The sequence below is a fragment of the Homo sapiens genome, chromosome X, assembly GCF_000001405.40.
Source record: "Homo sapiens chromosome X, GRCh38.p14 Primary Assembly".
Taxonomy (NCBI): Eukaryota; Metazoa; Chordata; class Mammalia; order Primates; family Hominidae; genus Homo; species Homo sapiens.
In genome coordinates this window covers 69,876,368-69,897,809 of record NC_000023.11, presented here as the reverse complement: position 1 = coordinate 69,897,809, position 21,442 = coordinate 69,876,368, and the positions used below count along the sequence as shown (strand labels likewise).

General features: G+C 38.9%; 1 protein-coding gene and 1 pseudogene across 6 annotated transcripts in view; one reads left to right on the top strand and one right to left on the bottom strand.

The window, feature by feature from the left end:
• EDA (ectodysplasin A) overlaps nucleotides 1-21,442 on the bottom strand; it is a 423,360-nt gene that overhangs the window by 141,663 nt on the left and 260,255 nt on the right. The window lies entirely within an intron of this gene.
• PRKXP2 (PRKX pseudogene 2) lies at nucleotides 18,866-19,665 on the top strand (annotated as a pseudogene).

The window sequence follows — 21,442 nt, the reverse complement described above, 5'->3', positions numbered from 1 at the left end:
GCTCTGACACGTTGCACTAGAGGCAGGATGGGATGAATCCCTGCCCCTTTCTTGTCTCCATAGAGGGTGACTTATCCAGATGAATTCCTTAGTAATCAGCAAGGTAAGAGAGGGGCAGCATGGGGGCTATGTTACCCAAGGGACTCATTTGAAGAAAGGCTTTTTGTCATTAAACATCTATCTCTCAAGAAGCAAACAACTGGAGCTTTAGACAGGAGAGAAAAAAGTGTTCCCTGGTCCACTGAAGTAACTAGCTGACTATTGAAAAGAAATAGTTTCTTTAGTAGTTTAAGTAAAAGTAAAACCCTGGATTAAATGGAAGAGTACACCTAATTTTAATAAATGTCTTAAACATTCATATCACTCACTTTATAACTCAAAGTTTCTCCCTTTTCTCTCTTGATATTTCACTCTAAAAGGCGAATGGAGAAGATTTACAAGTAAAGGAAAGGTACATTTATATTCAGAATTTTCTTTCCTTTCAGGTTCCAAAGTTTGAGCTTAAATACCTCTGGCTAAAGAATGAAAAATCAGGCACTTTTTATGGCACCAGTTCAATGATGGTATTTATTGTTTTGGTGGGGGAGGGAGGAGGAGTGTGTATATCAAAGTTTCTAGAAGCTTTAAAATCCTACTGTAGGGAAAGAGAAGGACAGGTAATAAGAAAGGGGAGAGGCATAGGTTTGTGCAAATTTTTTTCTCTACCTCAGATCCCAAAAAGGTGACAAAAAGCTGAGGGTTCTTTGATTTCAATTCATTGTCTATTCTGGCAAGCAAAAGTTCATTTACCTTAGAAAAATCCTGTTATTTCAAAGCAAGAGTGAAAAATATATGTATAAAGAGAAAAGTGATAGGAAATTAAGTAGAAAACTCCTTAAATATTTTTCTTTTCAAAATTTGAGTTGTGGAGGGTAGTAAGTACAGGAAAATTAAGGTAAATATAGTTTTAAAAATAGCTAATTTAATATATTTGCCAAATTTATTCTAAATCATCAAGAGGAAGAGTGAGAAGAAGAGAAGTTAAAGGCATGAATAAGTCAAATGGACTAAAGTAGCAGCATGGTATGGTGGAAAGGGCATGGAACTTGGAGCTGGAAGACCTGATTTCTAGTCCTGCCTCTGCCACTAATTCCATATGGCTTGCCTTAGGTAAGTGTTTTTAACTTCCCTGTACCTCAGTCTTTATAACCTACAAAATGAGAGGATTATACTAAATAGTCTCTAAATTACTTCTAGGTTTAACATTTCATAATGTGTGAAATAATATGGTACATGTTATGGGCTGAATTGTGTCCTCTTCTCCCCAAATTTGTATGTTGTACGAAACCATCCATCTTCCTCCTCACCCCATCCCTTCTTTGCAGCCTTTCTCAACCTACACACACACACACACACACACACACACACACACTGATGCACATACCCTTATCATCTTTCTATCCCAGTATACAGCCATTGAAAAAGAAGCCAACTGGCAGACCAAGATGTCACACCAGTCCCCCCAGTACCTCACAATGTGGCTATATTTGGAGATAAGATATTTAAAGAGGTAATTAAGTTAACATGAGGCTGAGTGGGCCTAAATCCAATCTGAGTGGTGTCCTTATCAGAAGAGAGATTAGAATCTACAGAGAGATATCAGAAATGCGTGCTCACAGAGGAAAGACCATGTAAAGAGGCAGTGGAAAGACCATGTAAAGAGGCAGCAAGACAGTGGCCATCTGCAAGCCAAGGAGAGAGACCTCAGAAGAAATCAATCCTGCTGATACCTGACTGGAAGTCTGATCTCAGACTTCCAGCTTTTAGAGCTGCAAGAAAATAAATCTCTGTTGTTTAAGCCACACAGTTTGTGGTATTTTCTTAAGGTAGCCCTGGCAAACTAATACAGTACATCATTTAAGTAAGAACTCAAGTAATTTATTTAAAAGAGAATAGACTTGTACAGTTTATCTAGTGAATTATACTCAGGGAGATTTTGCTGGAAGCTCAAATTTCCTGGCTCCTTTTTCAGAACTAGCCACAGAACAAATGATAATTACCGCTGTGGAAAGTGGAAAGTGGAAAGTTGTAGCCTATAAAGTCAAATGTGGAAAGTGGAAAGTTGTAGCCTATAAAGTCAAATGTCAAGAAGGTTTAAAAATTAGAGCACAATGAAGAGAAATCAGGGTGAAAACAGTTTGTCAGAACAACATTTATATAATGTAGGATTTTTTATTTTTACTCTTTTACCTGTTTATAGTCAAAACGGGTATTTTTTGGTTTCAGGATGGTGTTAAAGTGTTTAAAATCAGGGTTTGACATCTTGGTCTGCCAGTTGACTTCTTTTTCAATGGCTATATACTGGGACAGAAAGATGATAAGGGTATGTGCATCAGTGTGTGTGTGTGTGTGTGTGTGTGTGTGTGTGTGTGTGTAGGTTGAGAAAGGCTGCAAAGAAGGGATGGGGTGAGGAGGAAGATGGATGGCATCGTACAAATCCAGTCTCACCGCTGGAAACTAAACTTAAAGTACCCTCATCCCCTCATCGTAATAGAGGTGGTGTGATCAAGTAGGCTTTATTCCTTCGATGCAAGTTTGATTCAACATATGCAAATCAATAAATGCGATTCATCACATAAACAGAACTAAAAGCAAAAACACATGATCATCTCAATAGATGCAGAAAAGGCCTTTGATAAAATTCAACAGCCTTCATGTTAATCCCACCCCGCAAATGTGGCATTGAAGGAACATACTTCAAAATAATAAAAAGTCATGTATGACAAACCCATAGCCACATCATACTGATTGGGCAAAAGCTGGAAGCACCCCACCTTGAAAACCAGAACAAGACAAGGATGCCCTCTCTCTCTCCACTCCTATTCAACATAGCACTGGAAGTCCTGGCCAAAACAATCAGGCAAGAGAAAGAAATAAAAGACATCCAAATAGGAAGAGAGGAAGTCAAACTATCTCTGTTTGCAGACAATATGATTTTATACCTAGAAAACCCCATAGTCTCTGCCTAAAAGCTCCTTAAGCTGATAAACAACTTTGGCAAAGTTTCAGGATACAACATCAAGGTACAAAAATCGGTAGCATTCCTATATATCAACAGCATCCAAGCTGAGAACAAAATCAAGAATGCAATCCCACTCACAATAGCCACAAAAAAGATAAATTACCTAGGAATACAGCTAACCAAGGAGGTGAAAGATCTCTACAATGAGAATTACAAAACACTGCTCAAAGAAATCAGAGATGACATAAACAAATGGAAAAACATTCCATGCTCATGGATAGGAAGAATCAATATTGTTAAAATGGCCGTACTGCTCAAAGTAATTTGCAGATTTGATGCTATTCCTATCAAACTACCAATGATATTCTTCACAGAATTAGAAAAAATAATTTAAATATTCGTTTGGAACCAAAAAGGAGCTCGAATAGCCAACACAATCCTAAGCAAAAAGAACAAAGCTAGAGGCATCACCTTACCTGACTTCAAACTATACTGCAAGTCTCCAGTAACCAAAAATATTGGTACTGGTACTGGTAAAAAAATAGATGCACAGTCCAACGGAACAGAAATAGCCCAGAAATAAAGCCGTCCCCTACAACCATCTGATCTTCAACAAAGTCGACAAAAGCAATGGGGGAAAGACTCCCTATTCAATAAATGGTGCTGGGATAACTGCCTAGCCATATGCAGTAGATTGAAACTGGACCCCTTTCTTATACCATATACAAAAATCAACTCAAAATAGAGGCGGTGGTGAAATAGATTTTCTCTTCTGGAAACTACTATTCCTAAAAGCTTAGCTGGACAATAGTACCTCAAAGTGGCTGATTAACCACATTCAGAATAATTCTGCAAAAACAGAATCCCAGAAAGTTGGTGCTGGGGGAGACCTTAGAATTCATCTTGGTCCAACTCCTTTGTTTTACAAGTGGGCAAATTGAAATCCAGAGAGAGGATGGGACTTGCCCAGGAAAACACAGCAATTTAGTAACAGAGCCAGAATTTGAACAACAACAAAATCTTTTCTTCAGACAGCTTTAAATTAACATGCAACTGGTTTATGTACTAATTTCTGATATTTTAATAGAGAATAACAAACTGTTAAAGAGATCACACATTTTAAAGATTTCCATCAGCTAAAATAATGCACAAAATTACAAAGTGATAGAGCTAGAGGAAACTTATTATTCTTTATGTTTATTCCATATTTTATGTGGAACATGAACTGATCTGAAGTAAAAGAGCAACATAAAATAGTGGAAAGGAAACTCATTTGGGAGTTAGGGGACTAATGTTTTTGAATCAATTCTATCACAAACTAGTTGTATGATTTTGGAGGAGTAACTAAACCTGTCTTGGATTCAGTTTTCTTATCTTTAAAATGGAGTTGTAGTGAGTTAAATAGTGGTCTCAAAAAGATAAGTTCATGTCCTAACTTGGAACCTGTGAATGCGGCCTTGTTTGGAAAAAGGGCCTTTACAGATAAAATTAGTTAATGATCTCAATGTTAGATCATCCTGGATTTAGGGTGGGCCCCAAATCCAAAGACAGGTGTCCTTATAAGAAATAGGCAGAAGAGGATTTGAGACACACAGATACAGATGAGAAAGTGATATGAAGATTAAGGCAGAGGTTGGAGTGATGGGTCCACAAGCCAAAGAATAGCAAGGTTTGCCAGCAGCCACCAGAGAGGCATGAACAGATTCTCCTTCAGAACCCACAAAGGGAACCAAACCTCCCAAAACCTTGATTTTGGACTTCTAGCCTCCAGGAGTGTGAGATTACAAATTTTTGTTGTTTTAAGCCACTAAATTTGTAGTAATTTGTTACAGCAGCATTAGAAAGCTAATATGGAGGGGGAGTGGGGTGAGAATTGAATCAGATGTGAGGGTCCAGGCAGGTAACATTAATAAATGAAATGGGCTGCTACGTGAAACATAACTGTAAGTGTAATGATTCATGGAAATGAAACAAGCATTTTAGTGTCAGAGGGACAAGAGTGAGTGATGACCTGAAGAACACTTCTCAGTTCCAGCCCATTGTTACCATGTGAGAATGCAGGCCCAGGATTGCCAGAGCATCTGGTTTTCAAGAAAAGTTCAACCTTTTATTTGAAATTATTTCCTTTAAAAAATAGGGGAAACTAATTTTAATTGTTAAAACACTGTCAAACAAACTAAATTTGTGAGCTAAATATTACATGATCTCTAATGTTCTTCGTGGCTCTAATCTATTTTTCAATTGGTTTATCCTAGCATTCAAATATGTTATTAGAACTGGAAGATTTTTTGGTCCCTAGCTCTGTGGGGACAATAGTAGCTGTGGTCACAGCATAAGTGTGACATTTTTGTTAGTTTGTGTCTAAAAAAAAAGCCATGGCAGACACTTCTCTGGAATTTTAAAAACTGACTGACAGGTCAGAAACTTTTCCTATTAAAATACACCTCAAGAAGCATTTTCTCTATCTGCATCATTTTTATTTACTAAAAGCTTTATTGGGTATGAAAAAGAGAAGCTGAAAGAGCATGTAATATTAGTTTACATAGAGCAAAGACATTTATACCTGAAACTCTCCTGTTCAGTAGAAATGGCATTCAAAAACTCAATTAACCTTCTGCATATTTACATTTGCAGGTATTTGTCAAAGAAGCATACAAATACCTTATAACTCCAGACTGTGAAGGTAAATACTTTCTGAAAATGTGATATGTACCCCTCAATACTTTGTAATCAACAGTATCGTACTAAGCTCATTACCATATTTTACTCATGAGAAACATGAAGGTTTAACAAACTTAAAGCTTAGGTTCTAAAGATCACCACATGAAAAATTTTCTCCTGCGTCCTTTTCTAACTTCATGCACTCACTTTTTTTTTTATTTCCAACTTATAAGTTCAGGGGTACATGTGCAGGATGTACAGGTTTGTTACATAGGTAAACGTGTGCCACGGTGGTTTGCTGCACAGATCATCCCATCACCCAGGTATGAAGCCCAGCATCACTAATTATTCTATCTGATCCTCTCTCTCCTCCCACTCCCCACCCTCTGACAGGCCCCAGTGTGTATTCTTCCCCCCATGTGTCCATGTGTTCTCATCATTTAGCTCCCACTGATAAGTGAGAACACGTGGTACTTGGTTTTCTGTTCCTGCATTAGTTTGCTAAGCACAACGGCCCCCAGCTCCATCCATGTCCCTGCAAAGGACATGATCTCGTTCCTTTTTATGGCTGCATAGTATTCCATAGTGTATATGTACCACATTTTCTTTATCCAGTCTATGGTTGAGGAGCATTTAGGTTGATTCCATGTCTTTGCTATTGTGAATAGTGCTACAATGGACATATGCATGCATGTGTCTTTATAGTAGAACGATTTATATTGCTTCACATATATAACGAATATATACAGTGGTTTGGGTACATCCCCAGTAATGGGATTGCTGGGCAGAATGGTATTTCTGTCCTTAGGTCTTTGAGGAATCGCCACACTGTTTTCCATAATGGTTGAGCTAATTTACACTCCTACCAACAGTGTAAAAGTGTTTGTTTTTCTCCACAACCTTGCCAGCATCTGTTATTTTTGACGTTTTAATAATAGCCATTCTGACTGGCATGAGATGGTATCTCACTATGGTTTTGATTTGTATTCCTCTAATGATCAGTGATGTTGAGCTTTTGTTCATATGTTTTTGGCCACATATATGTCTTCTTTTGAGAAGTGGCTGTTCATGTCCTTTGCCCACTTTTTAATGGAGTTTTTTTTTTGTAAATTTGTTTAAGTTCCTTACAGATGCTGGATATTAGGCATTTGTCAGATGCATAGATTGCAAATATTTTCTCCCATTCTGTAGGCTGTCTGTTTACTCCGCTGATAGTTTCTTTTGCTGTGCAGAAGCTCTTTAGTTTAATTAGGTCCCATGTGTCATTTTTTGCTTTTGTTGCAATTGCTTTGGCATTTTCATCATGAAATCTTTGCTTGTATTGAATGGTATTGCCTAGATTTTCTTCTAGGGGTTTTATAGTTAAAGTTTTACATTTAAGTCTTTAATTCATCCTCAGTTGATGTTTATATATAGTGTAAGGAAGGGGTCCAGTTTCAATTTTCTTCATATGGCTAGCCAGTTCTCCCAGCACCACTTACTAAACAGGGAATCCTTTCCCCATTGCTTGTTTTTGTCAGGTCTCTCAAAGATCAGATGGTTGTAGATGTGCAGTCTTATTTCTGAGTTCTCTATTCTGTTCCATTGGTCTATGTGTCTGTTCTTGTATCAGTACCATGCTCTTTTGGTTACTGTAGCCCTATAGTATAGTTGGGTAGTATAGTAATATAGTAAAGTTGGGTAGCATGATGTCTCTAGCTTTGTTCTTTTTGCTTAGGATTACCTTGGTTATTTGGGCTCTTTTTTTTTTTGGTTCCATATAAATTTTAAAATAGTTTTTTCTAATTCTGTGAAGAATATCACTGGTAATTTAATGTGAATGGCATTGAATCTTTAAATTGCTCTGGGCAGTATGGCCATTTTCATAATATTGATTCTTCCTATCCATGAGCATGGAATGTTTTTCCGTTAGTTTGTGTCACCTCTGAATTCTTTGAGCAGTGGTTTGTAGTGTTCCTTGAATAGGCCCTTCACTTCCCTTGTTAGCTGAATTCCTAGGTATTTTATTCTTTTTGTGGCAATTATGAATGGGAGTTCATTCACCATGTACTCACTTTGAATTTAATAAAAAGAAGGAGGATGTCAAGGCAAGTCAATGAGGAAAGCATAGCCTTTTATACATATGGTACTTGGACAACCGAATATCCACGTGGAAAAGAAAGAAGTTAGACCTCTACCTCATGCCATACACAAAATTAGCTCAAAGTAGACCATAGAGACCTAACTAGAAAAGCTAATACTATAAAACTGCTAGAAGAAAACAGATATGAAGTCTCATGACCTTGGATTAGAAAATGAATTTTTAGATATGACACCAAAAGCACAAGCAATACCAACAAAATATAGATAAAGTAGACATCATCAAAGGTATAATCTGTGTGCTTCAAAGAACAGCATAAGAAAGTGAAACAAAAACCTACAGAATGAGAGAAAATATTTACAGTCATATATTTGTTAGGGGATTTATACCCATAATATATAAAGAATCCATATAAATAAAAAATCAAATGACAAAAAACAATTAAAAATTGGCTAAAGAATTTGAGTAGATGTTTCTCCAAAGAAGATATACAAAGAGCCAATAAGCACATGGAAAGATACTCAGCCTCACTAATCAGTAAGGAAATGCAAATCAAATCTACAATGAGACACCACTTCACACCAATTGGAAGACTATTGTTAAAAAAACAAACCAGAAGGCCAGGCGTGGTGGCTCATACCTGTAATCCCAGCACTTTGGGGGGCCAAGGCAGGAGGATGGCTTAAGCCAAGGAGTTCAAGACCAGCCTGGGCCACATGGTAAGACCCTGTATCTGCAAGAAAATTTAAAAAATTAACCAGGTGTGGTGGTGTGTGCCTGTAGTCCCAGCTACTATGGAGGACGAAGTGGGAAGATCGCTTGAGCCCGGGAGGTCAAAGCTGCAGTGATCCATGATTGCACCACTGCACTTCAGTCTGGGAAACAGAATGAGACCCTGTCTCAAAAAATAAATATGTAAATAAATAAATAAAAAGTAAAAAACAAACCAGAAAATAACAAGTTTTGGTAAAAATGTGGAGAAATTGAAACCCTTGTCTATTGCTGGTGGGGATGTAAAAATGGTGCAGCTGCTGTGGAAAAACATAATATATATATATATATATATATATATATATATATATATATATAACTACCCCACAATACAACAATTCCACTTCACTTCTGGGTATATACCACAAAAAATGGAAAGCAAGAACTTGAACAGATATTTGTACCGCCATGTTTATAGCAACATTATTTACAATAGCCAAAACGTGAAAGCAACCCAGGGGTCCATCAACAGATTTAGTGGATAAACAAAATGTAGTATGTATACATTCAGTGGAATGTTATTCAGCCTTATATATTCATAATTTTTATATCCTCTTGATGAATTGACCCCTTTTTTCATTATATAATTACCTGCTTTGTCTCTTTTTACAGCTTTTGACTTAAAGTCTATTTTGTCTGACATAAGCACAGCTACTCCTGCTCTCTTTTGGTTTCCATTTGTATGCAATATATTTTTTCATCTATTCACTTTCAATATATGTCTCCTCAAAGTTTAAATGAGTCTCTTGTGGGCAGAATGTCACTAGGTCTTTTTTTTTTTTTTAAATCCATTCGGTCACTCTGTCTTTTGATTGGAGACTTTAATCCCTATACATTCAAGGTAATTATTGATAGGTAAGGACTTATCACTGTCATTTTATTACTTGTTTTCTGGTTGCTTTGTAGGTCCTTTGTTTCTTTCTTCCTCTTTTTGTCTTCCTTTGTGATATGATGATTTTCTATGGTGGTATGCTTTGATTCCTTTCTGTTTATCTTTTGTGTATTTACTATAGGTTTTGTTTTGTGGTCATCATAAGACTTAGACAGAACATCTTATATTTACAGAAGGTTATTTTAAAAACTCTACACTTTTGTCTACCCCAACATTTTATGTTTTTGATGTCATAATTCATCTCTTTATATTGTGTATCCTTTAACAAAATGTTATAGCTATAGTTATTTTTAACAGTCTTGTCTTTTAACATTTATACTAGAGATAACTTTTATACTAGAGACAGGTGATTTATATACCACTATTACATTATCAAAGTATTCTGAATTTGACTATGTATTTACCTTTACCATGGAGTTTTTTACTTTCATGTGTTTTCATGTTGTTAATTAGCATCCTTTTGTTTCAATTCTAAGAACTGCTTTTAGTATTTCTTGTAAGACAGGCCCAGTGGTGATGAACTCCCTCAGCTTTTGCTTGTAAATGTCTTTATTTCTCCTTCATTTCCAAAAGACAGATTTGCCAGGTATAATATTCCTAGTTGGTAGTTTCCTTTTCTTTCAGCACTTTGTATATACCATCCTACTCCCTCCTGGCTTGCAAGATTTTCTGTTGAGAAGTCTCATGGTAGCCTTATGAGGGTTCCCTTATATGTGATGAATCTCTTATCTCTTGATGCTTTGTCTTTGACTTTTGACAATTTGAATATAATGTACCTTGGAGTATTCTTCTTTGAGTTATTTCATTTGAGGTCTTTTGAGCTTCATAAATCTGGGGGGTCTATATCCCTTCTCAACATTTGAAGTTTTCAGACAGTATTTCTTTAAATAAACTTTCTTTTCCTTTTCTCTCTTCAAGTGTGCTAATTCTTCTGTATGATGGAGTCTGCTGTTGAAGCTCTCTATTGAAGTCTTCAGTTCTATCATTGTATTCTTTAGCGCCATTTAGTTCTTTTTAAATGATTCCTATTTATTAGACTTCTCACTTTGATCATGAATTATTTTCTTAATTTTATTTATTTGTTTTTATTATTTTTTTGAGATGGAGTCTCACTCTGTTGCCCAGGCTAGAGTGCAGTGGTGCGATCATGGCTTACTGCAGCCTACCTCCTGGGTTCAAGTAATCCTCCTGCCTCAGCATCCCAAGTAGCTGGTACTATAAGGCACACTCCAACATGTCCAGTTAATTATTTTTGTAGAGATGAGGTCTCCCCATGCTGCCTAGGCTATTAATTTTATTTAGTTGTCTATCTATGTTTCCTTGAATCTCACTGAGCTTCTTTAAGATGATCATTTTGAATTCTGTCAGGTAATTTGTAGATCTCCATTTCTTGCCGTCAGTAATTGGAACTTTATTTGTTTCCTTTGGTGGCTCACATTTGCTTGATTCTTCCTTATTTGTGTAGCTTTGCATTGATGTCCATGTATTTGAAGGAAATTCCTCTTTCAGTCTTTGCAGACTGATTTTGGTAAGTTAAGGCCTTCTTCTGTTAGGTTCTTGGGTTGATGGAATGCCTCTGGAATCACAGTCAAATGGGGTTTGAACTGGGTAATGTGGCTGCTGCTGGGTCTGCAATTGGGGTCCACAGTTGGCAGGTCTATTATCAGGGGCTCTAGCAGCTGTGGATCCTGTCTGGTCCCTGGGTGACTGGACTGTCTCTAGGATGTTGGTTTGTAGGACTGGTGCCAGGATGAGCACCCAATTCAGGGCCCACAGATGGCAGGCCTGTTACTAGGTATGTGGATGGGTGTGACTTACTTTGAGTCCCTGGGAAAGCTCTTGTTGGATCACTGAGTGGGTACCTTGGCATGCAGTACTACTGTAGTCTGCAGCTGAGAAGGGCTAGAACCAAGTTGCAGGGCTGTTTTAGGGCCTACAAGCTGAAACTGAAGTCTTCAGCCTTTTTCTGGGGTCACAGATTGGCATTTCTCCTGGTGGGTCCCTGGGTGGGCAGTCCTGCTATCAGACTACAGTTGAGAGGCACTGGAGCCAAATAACGGGGCCATTTCAAGATCCACAGTGGGACTGAGAACATCAGGTCCGCCTGCAAGGTCACTGATGGTCATTTCTCCCTGCAGGTCTCTTCATGGGCAGGACTGCTCTCAAGCTACAGCTGAGGGGGGCTGATGCCACTTTTTAGGTCTGTTTCATGATCTACTATGGGAACTAGGTAAACTGGCTTGCCTGCAGAGCACAGCAAAGCATGCCTCCCTCTGTGTCCCTGTGTGGGAAGGATTGCTCTCAGACCAAAGCTGGGTGAGGCTGAAGATGGGATTCAGAGCCATTTAGGCACCTGCTGTGGGAGTGAGGTTGGTAATCCTGCCCCAGGGACCTAAGTGTGTCTCCCTCTGGATCCTTATGTGAGCAGGATTGATCTTGTACAATTACTAAGAAAGGCTGGAGATAAGTTACAGTGTTATTTCAAGGTCCACATCTGATACTGAGGTTAGTAGGCCTCTCTCCTGAGGCAGTAGTATGCATAATTCCCCTGGGCCTCTTGGCAGATGGTTTTGGTAGCAGGACCAAAGCTAGATGGGGCTGTAGCTGAGCCCACAGGTAGATGGGGCTGTTTCCGGGTCTGGAGTTGAAACAAAGGTTAGTAAGTATGTTATCTGGATGTGGGTACCTCTTGTCAAAATGACCTTCCTAAGTCTTGGGTTCTGCAGGGGTTTCACAAACTTGTACCTGAATTCCAAGGCTCCTACAAAGACAATTTTGTCTGTGGATGGCTGCAAAATTATTGTTGCTGTGGAGAAATATGAACAGCATCCTGTTTCACGATCTTGTTGATGGCACTCTCCCATTCAGCCTTAAAGAGAAATAAAATTCTGATTCATGCTGCAACATGGATGAACCTTGAAGACATTATGCTAAGTAAAATAAGCCATTCATAAAAAATATTGTAAGATTCCATTTATATGAGGTACTTAGAATAGTCAAATTCTTAGAGACAGAATGTAGAATGGTGGTTGCCAGGGGCTGGGAAGAAGAATGGGGAGTTAGTGTTTAATAGTTAAAGAGTTTCAGTTTGGGAAGATGATAACGTTTTGGAGATGACAGTGGTAATGGTTTCACAACAATGGGAATGTACTTAATGCCACAGAACTATGTGTTTAAAAATGGTTAAAATGATAAATTTTATGTTATTTATATTTTACCACAATAAAAGAGACAACTGAACTAATTAAAAATTGGGCAAAAGATATGAATAGATGTTTCCCTAGAAAAGATGTACAAATGGCCAATGAGCACGTGAAAAGATGCTTAACATCATTAATCACTAGGAAAATGCAAGTAAAAAACCACAAGGAGATACCACTTTATATCCATTAGGGTGGTTATAATAGAAAAGAGAGATAATAGCAAATGTTGACAATGATGTGGAGAAATTGGAATCCTCCAGCATTGCTAGTAAGAATGTAAAATGTTGCAGCCACTTTGGAAGACAGTTTGGCAGTTCCTTGAAAAGTGAAACATAGAGTAACTATATAACCCAGATATCCCACTCATAGGTATATACATGAAAGAATTGAAGACAGGTATTCAAACAAAAATTTGTACATGAATGTTCATAGCAGCACTATTCACAATAGCCAAAAGGGGGAAACAATTCAAATGTCCATCAACTGATGAATGGATAAAGAAAATGTGGTATATCCATACAACAAAATATTATTCAACAATAAAATAGAATAACACTACAACCTGGATAAACCTTAAAAATGTTATGTTAAGTAAAAGAAGGCAATTACAAAAGACCAGAGTTTATATGATTCTGATTCCTTTTATATGAAATGTTCAGAATAAGCAAATCTGTAAAGATAGAAACATTTCCACTTTTACTTCGTTTCTAAAAAATTGAGATATAATTCACTTACATAATCATCCATTTAAAGTCTATCATTCATTGGTTTTTAGTATATTCACTAAGTTGTGCAACCATCACCACAATCTAATTTTATGACATTTTCATCACCTACAAGAGACTCCTTGCCTATTAGCAGTCATTCTATATTTCCACCTTCCCTCTACCCCTAGGCAACCATTAATCTACTTGGTAATTAAGCTAGAAATACATGGAGTATAGGTTCACTTCTTCTTTTGTAAGCTGATATACAAACAAATACTGAAGTGAGTTTCCTGGCTGCTTTTTGAGGAAATATGTCAACTACTACTATCTATATTTTGGGACCTACTCATTATTTTGAATACAATGGAGAAACCTACTCTTTTGCACTCAGTCACTTTCAGTAGTAGTTAGAAAAAAATTCTTTTTTTTTTGAGATAGGGTCTTGCTCTATTGCCCAGCCTGGAATGCAGTGGTGCAATCATAGCTCACTCCAGCCTTGACCTCTCAGGCTCAAGCAATCCTCCCACCACGCCTGGCTAATTTTTCTCTTCTTTATTTTTTGTAGAGACAATGTCTTGCTATGTTACCCTGGCTGATCTCAAACTCCCGGGCTCAAGTGATCCTCCCACCTTTGCCTCCCAAAATGCTGGGATTACAGGCATGAGCCACCACACCTGGCCCCCTAAAAAGCATATTTTTAAGACTACTTAGTTGATCAAAGACTTCTAAGATTGCTTATTTATGGCTGAAATACTGCTCAAAACTCTATAAACCTTCATAAGGGCCATGGTATTCTTTTCTTTTTCTTATTCAGAAACAAAATAAACCTCCCATTAAAAAAGTCTAAGGAAACAAAACCAAAGAAATCCCAATTAGATTTCTGCCAACCCATCATGGGGAAGATTGGGAGTCACTGGCCATCAACGTATAGATAGGACTTTCCCACAGCACCGGGAAGTCAATAAAGGCAAGAATCTTAGAGACAAATTCCTGTTGCCCACGTGGTCAATCCAAATTGGGTACCCAGTTATCCTGGCTCCCTAAGGATTTCTAGAATTCATCTGCCCACCTTGAGTCAATGGTGGTAATGGTGGCAGTGGCCTGGCAAAGGCAATTTGGCTGTATGGTACTACGAGTTCCTGATCTGAGAAACTCTGGCCCTAACATGGCTCTGACACTCAAAACAACATTGTCAGGTCAACTCACTGGGAATGAAAAACTGAAATATGAAAATGGAAGAGGTGGTTGGGACACAGTAGGCATTGGGCTTGAAAGACATGCATCAGAAGAAAGATCGAGTTCCTTTGAGGAGATATGTTATAGGCTGCCATGAAAGTACTTATACTTGAGAAATGTAGGCCATGCTTGCTCACTAGGAGGGGGAACAGATTATATATTTACATTAAAAATTAAGCTTGCAATCTTTAGTAATCGCTTTGACTTAACAGCATCACATTTTATATTTCTGGCATTAAAGGTAGTTACAGGGCCGGGTGCAGTGGCTCACGCCTGTAATCCCAGCACTTTGGGAGGCCAAGGGATTGGGGGGTGGATCACCTGAGGTTGGGAGTTCGAGACCAGCCTGACCAACATGGAGAAACCCCGTCTCTACTAAAAATACAAAATTAGCTGGGCATGGTGGCGCATGCCTGTAATCCCAGCTACTCGGGAGGCTGAGGCAGGAGAATCGCTTGAACCCAGGAGGCAGAGGATGCAGTAAGCTGAGATAGCGCCATTGCACTCCAGCCTGTGCAACAAGAGTGAAACTCCGTCTCAAAAAAAAAAAGTAGTTACAAACACTGAGAATTGACACTGAATATGCGCCACCAGTGTATATTTCCACTGAAGTAAGTTGGAAGTTACTTTAGAGGATGATGTTTCTGCCTAATAGACAGGGGCTGTTTCTATGTACTTAAAGCTCACTGTGACTAAACAGGCAATCAACACTTCTACTGGGGACCTCATAAAATGGAACTTCAATTGGAGGCTAACCTAGTCACCTGACTTGCACCTTCTTAGACCCTGTTTACTCCTAGACAGACCAAAAATAGCAAGAGAATGTTCATTAAGGCAATCATGAATGCACACTGGGTGCTGGTGTACTCTATCCACATTTGCAGAGCAGTCTGGAGTGAGACCTCTGGGAAGCACCAAGGTATGTATAGCAACTGATCAACCCTTACATGCTTAGACTGCATAGACATGAGTCATGCTCTGTTCACCAAGGGAAGACTCTTTATAACTCCATGGAATCCTAGCCTGCTTGCCTCAATCTGCTCAGAATGCAATGCTGGAAGGACTGTATGGCTTAAGAGAACTCCTAATGGTATAATATTAAGGCTAGTTTTTTTTTCAATAAACAGATGCTAAATTAAGAAAAAACAATTGCATCAATCCCAAAGAAAAAGATCCTCAGGCATCACAGCAGTTGAGATAGTTTGGGTGTTCATCCCCTCCAAACCTCATGTTCAAATGTGATCCCCAATGTTGGAGGTAGGGCCTAGTGGGAGGTGTTCGGGTCATGGAGGTGGATCCCTTATGAGTGGCTTGATGCTGTCCTTGTGGTAATGAGTGAGTTCTTGCTCTATTAGTTACCACAAGATCTGATTGTTAAAAAGAGCCTGGCACCACCCCCTCTCTCTTACTCCCTTTCTTGCCATGTGACACACCTACTCTCCCTTCACCTTCCACCATGAGTAAAAGCTTCCTGAGGCCTTGCCAGAAGCCGAGCAGATGTGGGTGCCATGTCTGTACAGTTGGCAGAACCATGAACCAAATAAACTTCTTTTCTTTACAAATTACCCAGTCTCAGGTGTCTCTTATAGCAACGCAAAATGGACTAATGCAGCATTGAAATGGAGACAGCTCAAAAACCACAGAGCAAATGGATTTGAGTGGATAGGGGCCAGTGGGAGGGATCAATTCCAAGGATCTGGCTGAGGAATATAGCTAAGCAACTATGGCAACTGGGCTAAGGAGGGAGTCCTGTGATGTGTTGGTGAGGACTGAACTGGTGACCAAATCACTTCTGAGGTATTCAAATTTATTTAAGAAAGATGACAACAGAATCTCCTATGAGTCTGGGACCACCTTGAAGTGCCAATGGCCCTGGAGGGATCCCCATTACTCTGCATGCTAAAGGGACCTGGGGCTCTTTACCTTTGTTACGAAGGCCAAATATCTAGTAAGAGGTTTTTTTTGGGGGGTGGTGGTGGAGAGTGAGAACAGTGCATTAGGAAGGAAGCCCCCTGCCCAACCTCTCAGGATCAACCCCTTAAGAGCTATCCTTAAAAAAAAAAATTAAAACAAAAATGTCGGAAAGCTAGTTGCAAAGGGGCTGGCCCTGCAGCCAAACTGGTCACTGGCTTTGCTTTTTCTTGTGGAGGCAAGGCACTTCGTGGGGTATGAGGTGTCAGGATGCGTCAGGCTTTGCCACCACTCCCCCTTGCCAAAGGCAAGGATTTTTCTATACAGGGATAAGGAAGTTAAAGTTTCTACATGGGAAGTTAGAGTTGCCCAAATACCAATTGAGAAACTATGTAAATTTCAATGATGGGGCTTTAACCACTAGGTAATGGCAAGAAAGCAAAGTCCAACATCCAAAGTCCTTGTGGAGAAGGGGCATGACATTGCATCTCCCTGCCACTCTATGTTTTGCATACAGGAAAATTTCCCAAAAGAAAGGAAAGATTACAATCTGTATGTGAGATAAGCATGTTTGAAGCCAACGAAGTGATATTCCCTAACCAAGGCCCAATGGGAACAGGTAAAGCCCAGTAACTATGATCCATGCTAATATAGCTATTTCTGCCCAATGTGAGGTATACCAGGAGACCAAAATGCTATAATTCAGCTACTGGGGTAGAAGGACAACACATGGATTTTCCTTTTCTGACCCGATGATGCCAAATCCTGAGGTTCTTCTGGCAGTTGTAAGGCAGATTCACTTTCCTTCTCTTTTTGTCCACTACTGGCAATATGGTGGTGGCTGTTTCATCACTAGTTTCGTCCCCTGAGTCACCAGGAAGTCACATGCCTAACTAGTTGAAAGTCCCCAGCAGTGGAGGAAATAGATGTTTTGAATTTTTTGTTGTTGTTGTTAAGCATGTCCTTCTCTGGGATGAGCTATCTCCTGGTCATGGTCTGGCTCTGTTGGCTCATCTCATGTATTGGAGAGTTTGATTTTCCAAACTGCAGGATGATTAGGTCAAGAGACGGGTAGAAACATTCTTTGGTAGCTGAAAAGGTGAATGAAAATTCAAGTACATTGCCTTGCCAACCTGACTGTTCACTCAAAATGACATAGTTTGGCTTATCTTCTGGGTGCTACAGATTAATCTCTTTCCATTTAGAAACTCCTCTGAACCCATGTTCGTTGTGAATGGCTTGGTTGGTCCCATCCCCCTCAGAACAAAAAAATGGTAAACCTCCCAATATAATCAGATACAATATGCCACTTTATTGGTTTTTTAAAAAAACTAAAATAACAATAAAGTGATTTTTTTCCTTTGCTAAGAACAACTTGTTGTCCTACTACTACTGTTTTGGAGAACAGAATTTGCTTGCCAAGAAAGTAAGAATACCAACACATGGGGAGAGTTGACTTTAGATTTTTCACAGTTTGTGGCCTATAGTGAAACTTCACAGGAGGCAGGGAAGGAGGAACCTGCACCCATGTTCAGCTGGGGATGGAGGCTACACAGGCACAGAGGAAGAGGAAGCCATACTGCTAGAAACAACGGGTAGGTGGAGAAAATTTTTCTCCAGCCCAGGTATGCCATCTTCCTTTTCCTCTTAAAGAAACAGCAGTATTTCTTGTTCTGTTTTGAGGAGGAAACAGTGGGGTAAACACTCTGTGTGTTTTTTTGGTTCCTTTTTCCATACTCTCATGACCTAGTTATAAGCATTTCCATTATAGAGGCAGCAGCATTAATGGCAGCATCAGCATTAGCAGGGATGCTGTAGTTGCCTAAAACTGAGGGAAGGCGAACTTTCTCTCCTGTTGGAGGAGCTGAGGTCTCAAGAGGGTGAGTTGATCACCATTATATTTTTTCTTTCTTTCTTACAGCCACTTGGCCCTGGACGCAGATAAAGTAGTGATGAGTATGTGACAGAAACAGGTAACTAAAGCCCTATCACTATGGCTGAAGAACCAAAAAGAACAGCAACAAGGAATAGGAAAGGACTGAGAGACTGTAGAGAGGGAGAAGATCAGGAAAGCAATTCCATAAAGTTGCTTATAAATCCCTGGGCTCATCCCCAAGTTGCAAATGCAAGGATCAGATCCTAAACAGCAATATGAAAGACTTCGAGAACGGAACTAAGCAGTAGTCCACAGTGCAGGTTCCAGACTAGCCACTAAGAGCTGAACAGTACCTTGAAGGCTTGGCGGGAGCGGTTGGGGGCGGGGAGGGGGCGGCGCGGAATCAAAGAACGAGAATGGCCAAAGCAGTTTTGAAAAAGAACAAAGTAGAATGTTCAATAATATTACTATGATTTATTTTTATAGTCAGCAAACATGAGATTTGAAGTGGGGTGCCCGGGTTCCTCTCATTTTTCCTTCAATCTACCTAGCATGCATTTTACACACATTGGAGGAGTCGTATGCACTGTTTTTCTCTGTTGCCGACGGAGGCAAGAAGGCCTTCTAATTAGTCTAACTTAAACGGATGGGATTCACTTAACAAAAGCAAGAAGAAAAGCACACGAACAGGTGTCTTAATGCATTTGGATAGTTTCTTTGCGGTGTGTGTGTGTGTGTGTGTGTGTGTGTGTGTGTCTTGGTGAAGGTGAGGGGCTGTATTTTCACCAAGCCTTTTCATAATCAAGTTTGCTTTGCAAACCTTATGGCCTTGCACCCCGCAGAACAGTCCTTCCTAATAGCAGGGATGCTCTGTCATGGTTTTCTGTAAATTATCATGTGTTGGGAAGTTCTGTTCAGGCTTAGTTTGATCTTCCATGGTGGAGACGTCTGTTCTGCATGTAAATGGCATTGCAATTGTGTTTTAGCGGATGAGATTTGAAGCTTTTCCACAGTCCTTGTCCTCTGAGATGGCTGTTGAGCTCTGCTCAGCTGCCATAGCTGAATTATTTTTTTGCGCTGAACACTGGGCAGCCTCACCATGTTGCCAACGTGCTTCTGGGGCCCCTGTTGCCGCGCACACAAGCAAAGTGCCTTTGCAGGTTTGTGCACCCCTTGGCGAGCCAGAACTGGGAACCCTGCGGGGGTGACCCCGCCTTCTCATGGGGGGTCGGGGAGGGGAGTGCCTATTTTTAATCCTGTCTGTTGCACAATGGAAATCACTGTGATTTGTACATATGCCCTAGGAAAATTTTACTGCTGTCTAATTTATGTAATATACTGTTGATTCCAGGTTTGTTTAATAAAACTGTATCTTTTCAAAAAAAAAGAAAAAGAAAAAGAACAAAGTTAGAGGAGAGAATCAAGTCTGTGTTACTGGCAACAGAATGAACACATAGATCAAGGGAACAAAGAGAGCATCCAGAAATAGACCTACACATATATGGTCAATTGCTTTTTGACAAAGATGTCAAAGTAATTCAATAGGGAAAGAATAGTCTCAACAAATGGTGCTTGAACAACTGTTATCTATATGCAAAAAAGATGAACCTCAGCTCATGCTTTGCACCATATACAAAAATTAACCCAAAATAAATCAAAGATATAAATGTAATACCTATAAAATATCCAGAAGGAAAAATAAGAGAAAATCTCTGTAACCTTGGGTTTGGGAGAGATTTCTTAGATATGACACCAAAAGCACAATCTATAATAGAACAAACTTGATAAATTGGACTTCAAAATTTCTGCTGTGTGAAAGACACTGGTAAGAAAGCAATAAGACAACTCACAGACTGAGAAAAAATATTTACAAATCACATGTCTTATAAAGAACTTCTATACAAAAAATATAAAGGACTCTCAAAAGTCATAATAAAAAAACAAAAAAAAGAAAAAATGGGTAACAGGTTTAAACTGACACTTTACTACATTATAAAAGATATTCAACTTTATTAATCATTAAAGAAATCTAAATTTCAATGGAATTTTGCTATATGCTTATTAGGATGTCTGAGATAATAATTTTAAAAATGAACAGTACGAAGAGATGGTAACAGGAACTCTCATATATTGCTCAAGGGTATGCAAAATGGTATGGTCATTTTTTTTACTCAGGGTCTCTGTCGCCTAGGCTGGAATACAGTGGTATGATCATAGTTCACTGCAGCCTCCAACTCCTGGACTCAAGTTGTCCTGCCTCAGCCTTCTAAGTAGCTGGGACTACAGGTGTGTACCATCATGCCTGGCTAATTTAAAAAATATATATTCACAGAGATGGGCTCAGGCTGGTCTCAGACTCCTGGCCTCAAGCCATCCTCCCACCTTGGCCTCCCAAAGTGCTGGGATTATAGGCAGGAGCCACCCTGCTGGGTCTAGTGGTATGGTCATTTTGCAAAACAGTTTGGCATTTTCTTCTAAAGTTAAATACACATTCTTCATACAACCCAGTAGTGCTACTCCTATATATTTAAAAAAGAGAAATGATGTTATGTTTATACAAAACCCCATAAATAAATGTTTATAACAGTTTTATTCATAATCATAAAAACTGGAAACAATCTAAATGTCCTTCAACCTGTGAATGGATAAACTATATCATGTCCATAAAATGTAATCTTATTAAGCAACGAAAAGGCATAGAAAGCTAATGTACAACAGCACAGATAAACCTCAAATGCATTGTGCTAAATGAAAAAAGGCCAGATGCAAAAACCTACATATTCCATGGTTGCATTTTTAGGATGTTCTAGAAAAGGCAAAACTATAGGGAAAGGAAACAGACAAGTAGTTACCAAGAGCTGAGGGCAGGGGTAAGGGTTGACTATAAAAAGATCTCTGGGATAATTAGGAAGATGATCAATGGTTTTACATGATGATTGAAGTGATGGTTACATGGCTGTATGTATTTGCCCAAACTCTCAGAATAGTATAATTTTTAAACATTTCTTATTTTTATTCTTTTTTTATTATTTTTTATTGTATTATTTTTATTTTATTCTTTTATTTTATTCTTATATTTTATTCTTATTATTAAATTCTTCAAT